This window comes from Homo sapiens, chromosome 10 (genome assembly GCF_000001405.40).
Source record: "Homo sapiens chromosome 10, GRCh38.p14 Primary Assembly".
NCBI classification, from domain to species: domain Eukaryota; kingdom Metazoa; phylum Chordata; class Mammalia; order Primates; family Hominidae; genus Homo; species Homo sapiens.
In genome coordinates, this window is record NC_000010.11 from 126,744,614 (window position 1) to 126,751,535 (window position 6,922).

A 6,922-nucleotide genomic window follows, 5' to 3' on the forward strand; every position below is an offset into this window, starting at 1 on the left:
GAGGTAGAAGTCAGACTACTGGGGTCTAAAATCTGGCAATGTCACTTCTAGTTGTGTGACCTTGGACATATAACTTAACCTCACTAGGCCTCTGTAAATGAAGATAAATGCCCTTTGTGTAAAGTGGTTGTGCACATTAATGAGATAATACATCAAAGCCCTTAGAACAGTGCTTGACATGTGGTCAGCAATAAATGAGCATTTGATTTTGTGACCATTGATACTATCATCTCATTCTTTGTTCCAGCTGGGCCTTCTAGCACAGTGGTTTGTGCCCCTCTTGAATTATCTTTGATAGCTTCCTCCCTCTATTTTGTCTCTTCTTATTTCTTGTCATTCTTATTAGGCAGATACTGGACTCCTGGATTCTTCCTCCCCTACTCCCATGCTTTCATAGTTTTCATTTCTTTTTTATTATTTTTCTACTTCCTGAGATATTTCCAGGCCCTTCATTCCCTATTTGATTTCCACTGATTTCATTGATGGCTATTATACTTTCCATCTCCAAGAGCTCATTCTATTTCCAGTCATTTCTTTTCCATTCACATGTTGCTCTTGGTTTCTGGATGCAGCATATTCTGTCTTTGAGAACAGCAAGTTGACTTTTGTTGACATTGTCTTCTGATTTCTACAGTCACATCTCCTCAAGGTTCCTTTCTTCTATTTATTTGTTTTGTTCTCTCTTTCTTAGCGGAGAATTTCTACCTCAAAGTTCTGGCCATCCCTGGCTGTTTATTCATATACGAGAGGAAGGTCCTAAAAGGCTGAATGGACCTTCACGCTTATGAGTTGTCTCTGTTGACTGGTGGGCTTCACCCCAGGTGATCAAGCCAGAGCCCTTTCCATTTCCCTAGGGTAGAATCTTCCAGGGTCCTACCTGGGGGACACAGTCTAGCTGCAACATTCCAGAGGCAGAGTTGGGGGTAGGAGCTGGGGGTCCCAGGTTCAAGATGCAAACTTCCATTGAACCCCCATGTTTAATCCTGCACCTCGACTCTGCCTTCTGAAGTCCAATGCTCTCCATTTTAATACCTTTAGAGAATGCACTTTCTAGCTGTCTAGGGGACCAATGGTGCCAGTATCGGCTTCCCACCAATCCCACTTGCCACTCTTCCACCTCCTGCCCCTCACATCCTAGGGCCTCCTGGTGCTGTGCCTGTCAGGGCTTTCTGCAGGGCACTTTGGCTGTGTCTCCCAAGCCTGCCCTCCATAGGCACATTAGGCTGCAGCTTCTTTTGCTCTAAGTCAATTTCCACTCCTCCATCCACTTTCTGTGTCCAGAAAAAAAAAAAAGAAATCCTGGTGTTTAAAGATTGCCAACTAATTCAAATTTTATCATGTTCTTTGGCACAAGTGAAGAACAAAAAATGTGTCAGCAGGTCGCAAGCAGCCCCCGGTCAGTTGTTAGCTCAGGACAAGGCAGTGATTCTTGAAGTATGGGACACTTCCACCCAATCCCACCCATCGTAAGAATGACTCAAGATGTCAGTAAAGATACAGATTTCTAGACTCTGCCGCAGACCCACCTAAACCAGAAGCCCTGTGAGTAGGGCCCAGGAATCTGCATTTTTAACAAGCTGTCCTGGGAGGTTTTGATGTGAGTGGCCTGGAATCTGTCCTATGATGATCAATTCTCCTCAGAGGAGAGTCAACCTGGAGCTGAGCCTGGAGGCCCCATCCTAAGGCCAACAACTGCTCACCTGTTCGTAAAAGATGGCCTCCTGATTAGACCTGCTTAGTCTCTGGCCAGCCAGCATTTATGCACTGAGTCTATTTGACACTGGCCTCCCTGGGTAGTTCTTGTGCACCATGAGCTGTAAGGCATAACCCAGTGATCCTTTGCTTCCATCAAGGCAGACAGTAGGAGGTCTAGTCAATGCTCTGCTTGGCCCCGCACTGGAAAAGCTTTCAGCAGCAATGAGATAAACGCCATCTTTAGCAGCACCCTTAGAACAGGTGAGTGCATCAACAAGCTCATACCGGAGAGGAAGGAAGTCTGGATGAACACCACACACACAGCAAGAGGAATGGGCTGTACCAGTTGACAGGTACCCTTAGAGAGTGTGCCGTTGAATTACGATTTCCAAGAGAAGAGGTCTACAGCAGAAGATGGATGGTGCGATGTAAAACAAATGTTTCTGAGCAACAGAATGCGCCCAAAGCCACCTTAGGACCTCCACCAAGACTGGAATCAGAGGGAGGGAGGATTAAAAGGAGACGGAGGATCACTGCCCTGTCTCTTTGGGCTTCCTGGTACCTGGAACAGCCCGGTGGATGAGCCAGCCTGAGGACCAGACTTTAGAAGTAGCTCCCAACCAAGGCAGTGCTTCTGAGGACATCTGCAGAGATGGTCAACTAACTTCCCCATAGGACCCCACCATGGCACGAGGGAATGAGCACGAAGCAGAAGGCCTGGCTCCAGGTGGAAAACCAACTCCTTGACTTCCCTGTAACTCAGCCTCTTCCTCTAGTAAATGGGGTCTCATCACCTGTTGCAGGGTCTGTGAGCCTTCCCAGGTCTACACCCCGCAACCTTTTCGAGGATGGCTGTCTTTTCTCCCCAGCAGCGTATTTCACTGCGCTGAGGACACAGTCTGTCTCCATAACTTCTGCACGCCCAGGACTTAACACCGCGTGGCCTTTAGCAGGTGTTCTATGAATGGTTTTTATTGACATGTTAATTAATATGCCGGGCTCGGTGGCTCACATCTGTAATCCCAGCACTTTGGGAGGCTGAGGCAGGTGGATCACTTGAGGTCAGGAGTTTGAGACCAGCCTGGCCAACACGGTGAAACCCCATCTCTACTAAAAATACAAAAATTAGCCGGGCATGGTGGTGGGCGCCTATAATCCCAGCTACTTGGGAGGCTGAGGCAGGAGAATCCCTTGAACTTGAGAGGTAGAGATTGCAGTGAGCTGAGATCATGCCACTGCACTCCAGCCTCAGTGACAGAGTGAAACTCCGTCTTTAAAAAAAAAAAAGGAAATAAACTGAAACCTGTTTGGTAACCTCATAACAGTTAAATGCACATGCCTTTCCATCCAGCAACTCCATGCATTCCAAGATATTTGGAGAGGTTGTTCACACAGCCTTGATAGTAAAGGTGAAACATTGGAGACCTCCTAAAAGTCAACCAGTAAAAATTGACCAATTAATTAAGATACGGCCATGCTAGGGAACTCTGTGCCACAATCAAAATGAATGAGGTAACTCTCTGTTCTTACTGGGAAGGGTACCCCTATGGTATCATCAGGAGAAGACCATTATTGTTAGTAAATAGACAACTTTGTTAAAAAATTAAAAGAGTATGTGCCCAATATAATATATGTAAGTTTCTATGCATAGAAAAACTTCTAGAAAAATAGAGATTATCCCCGGAGAATGTAGTTAATAGCAAGATGGGTGGTAAAGTAGTATACTTTCATTTTTTTATTAGAATGTTCTGATTTTATAATTTTTTTAAATCCCCAATCCCCTATTAAAATGCAGATTTCTATGGGGAAGGGTCATTCCATGCTGCCAGGCAGCAGCTTGGCTGGAACCCAGGTGAGTCATGGAAGTGGGTATTTATTAGGCCAATGTCTGAGAACCAGCCCCAGGAGCCTGGGAGCAGCCTGCAATGGAGGGGCTCAGCCACAGAGTCCACTCAGTCTTTTACAGATGGGGAAACTGAGGCCCGGAAGGAAGAAGGATTTTCACAGGAAAGTAGGGACCAAATCCACATGGCAAGGAGGCTCTGACCAGAGCCATTCCCCACCTGCAGACCAGAGCACAGCAAGAGTCGAACAGCAGGATTTGTGGAGTGCTGCCCCAGCAGCCTGGACTTCTGTCGTGGATGGACAGTGACACATCTTCAGCCAGTTGCAGTCACGCTGGGTCCTGCCTCTACCACAGCATTCACTCTCTCAAGGTGGCTGCCCATGCACAGCATATCAAAACCAATGGACCAAACTGTAAAAGAATTGGCCCAATATCCATCTCATGTTTTCCCTTCCAGAATGTTGACATTACTTTATATTTTTCAACATCAGAGTGTCTACTAGGTCAGAAGAATTTAAAGCCAGTTACATCTGGGCCGCTTGATACTAGGGATAAAAGCAGTTTCCATTACATAATGAAATCCTTGGCTTTCCCCATCCAGAGCCACAGCTCCCCTTCTAGTTGATTGAGCTGCTGACTGGCACATGAATACTGTATTTAACTAAAATCAACAAGGACCAGGAGGTATAGGATTTTGCCTGCAATTCCAAGCAATCTGCTGACCTTTCTCTGACACTACTTACTATATTTTAGTGTCGGAATCAATTGAACGGTGGGTTCTAAAGAGAGCAAGTGAATTCATTTGTGCTTTGGGAAAAGGCAGCCCCAGCGATCCTCATCCATCACTGTTAGATGGAAGGGGAAATGCCTTAAAGTGGCTCGTTTTCTTTCAACTGCAATATGCCAGCAGAGCACATAAGGATTCTATAACATGCAGCAGTCACTGTGATTCATCCTCATAAGGCAGTGTCTGGGCCAAAAGAGAATGTAAATCTCAGAGAATCACCTTCTTCTGCTGAGTAAGTGGATAGGGCCATTTGTCCTCTAGGTACCAACCATGTAAGGGGCACAGTGCCCTCTGGTGGTAGCTGCTTTTTCCTGCGCTGCGCAATTGTACGCTCCTCCTACCTGCCCCATGGAAGAACAAGGCGGCTCTGTTCAGAGCATCCCATGGCTGGGTGGCTTGGGGAGTGGGGAGGCCCACAAGACTGTATGTGCTGGGTGAACCTCACAGGGCCTGAGGAAGAGAGTCTGAAATTGACAGTGAAGCAATCAACCTTAAAAAGTATGGCAGAACAGGCCAGTAGGTGCAGGTCTAGCTCCTGTGGGTTGTGCTGAAAAATGGCAACCAACCATCCAGGCAAGAGGCTCTACAGAGTTCTGATAACCTCCTCTCCAGACCTGCTGAAACAATATGGAGAAATGCCCAGCCAAGAAGAAAGACAGCACTGCCTGGTGGAAGAACATGGGCTTGGAAGTCAAAGAAGCTGGATGTGGGGCCCAGCTCAGCCACTTGCTGGTTGAGTGACAGAGGACAAGTAATTTACATTCTACAGTCTGCAAATCCGTTTCTTCATCTGTGAAATGGGAGGGAAGAAATCCTACCTCAAGAGGTCATTATCCAAACAAACAAGACAATCTGCGTAATGGCTCATGGCAGGGTCTAGCAGAGAACAGGTGGTTGTCAAGTGGCAAGTGTGGCTGAGAGTGGGCTGCAATTCAGTGCCCTGTGTTCTATTCCTTTTTTGTAGAATTTATCATTATTATTATTGTTTTATTTTTCCATAAGTTATTGGGGCACAGGTGGTATACTTGGTTACATGAGTAAGTTCTTTAGTGGTGATTTGTGAGATTTTGGTCCACCTATCACCCAAGTAGTACACACTGCACCACATTTGTATTATTTTATCCCTCACCCCCCCTCACTCTTCCCCCCAGGTCCCCAAAGTCCATTGTATCATTCCTATACCTTTGCGTCCTCATAGCTCAGCTCCCACATATCAGTGAGAACATACAATGTTTGGTTCTCCATTCCTGAATTACTTCACTTAGAATAATAGTCTCCAATCTCATCCAGGTCACTGCAAATGCTGTTAATTTGTCCCTTTTTATGGCTGAGTAGTATTCCATCATATATATATATATATATACACACACACATACATACATACAGTTTCTTTATCCATTTGTTGATTGATGGGCATTTCGGTTGGTTCCACGATTTTACAATTGTGAATTGGGCTGCTATAAACATGTGTGTGCAAGTATCTTTTTCGTATAATGACTTCTTTTCTTCTGGGTAGATACCCAGTAGTGGCATTCCTGGATTAAAGGGTAGCTCTTTAAGGAATCTCCACACTGTTTTCCATAGTAGCTGTACTAGTTTACATTCCCACCGGCAGTGTAGAAGTGTTCCCTGATCACCGCATCTATGCCAACATCCGCTGTTTTTTTTATTTTTTGATTATGGCCATTCTTGCAGGAGTAAGGCAGTGTCGCCTGATGGTTTTGATTTGCATTTCCCTGATCATTAGTGATGTTGGGCATTTTTTCATGTTTGTTGGCCATTTCTACATCTTCTTTTGAGAATTGTCTCTTCATGTCCTTAGTCCACTTTTGGATGGGATTTTTTTTTTCTTACTGAGAAGATTTTCCCCCACTCTGTGGGTTGTCTGTTTACTCTGCTGACTGTTCCTTTTGCTGTGCAAAAGTTCTTTAGTTTAATTAGGTCCCAGCTATTTATCTTTGTTTTTATTGCTTTTGCTTTTGGGTTCCTGATCATGAAATCCTTGCTTAAGCCAATGTCTAGAAGGGTTTTTCCAATGTTATCTTTAGAATTTTTACAGTTTCAGGTCATAGGTTTAAGTCCTTAATCCATCTTGAGTTGATTTTTGTATGAGGATCCAGTTTCATTCTCCTACATGTGGCTAGCCAATTATCCCAGCACCATTTGTTGAAAATGGTGTCCTTTCCCCACTTTATGTTTTTGTTTGCTTTGTCAAAGATCAGTTGGCTATAAGTATTTGAGCTGATTTTGGGGTTCCCTATTCTGTTCCATTGGTCTATGTGCCTATTTTTATACAAGTACCATGCTGTTTTGGTGACTATGACCTTATAGTACAGTTTGAAATCAGGTAGTGTGATGCCTCCAGATTTGTTCTTTTTGCTTAGTCTTGCTTTGGCTATGCAGGCTCTTTTTTGGTTCCACATGAATTTAGAATTGTTTTTTCTAATTCTGTGAAGATGATGGTGATATTTTGATGGGGATTGTACTGAATTTGTAGATTGCTTTTGGCAGTATGGTATTTTCACAATATTGATTCTACCCATCCATGAGCGTGGGATGTGTTTCCATTTGTTTGTGTCATCTATGATTTTTTT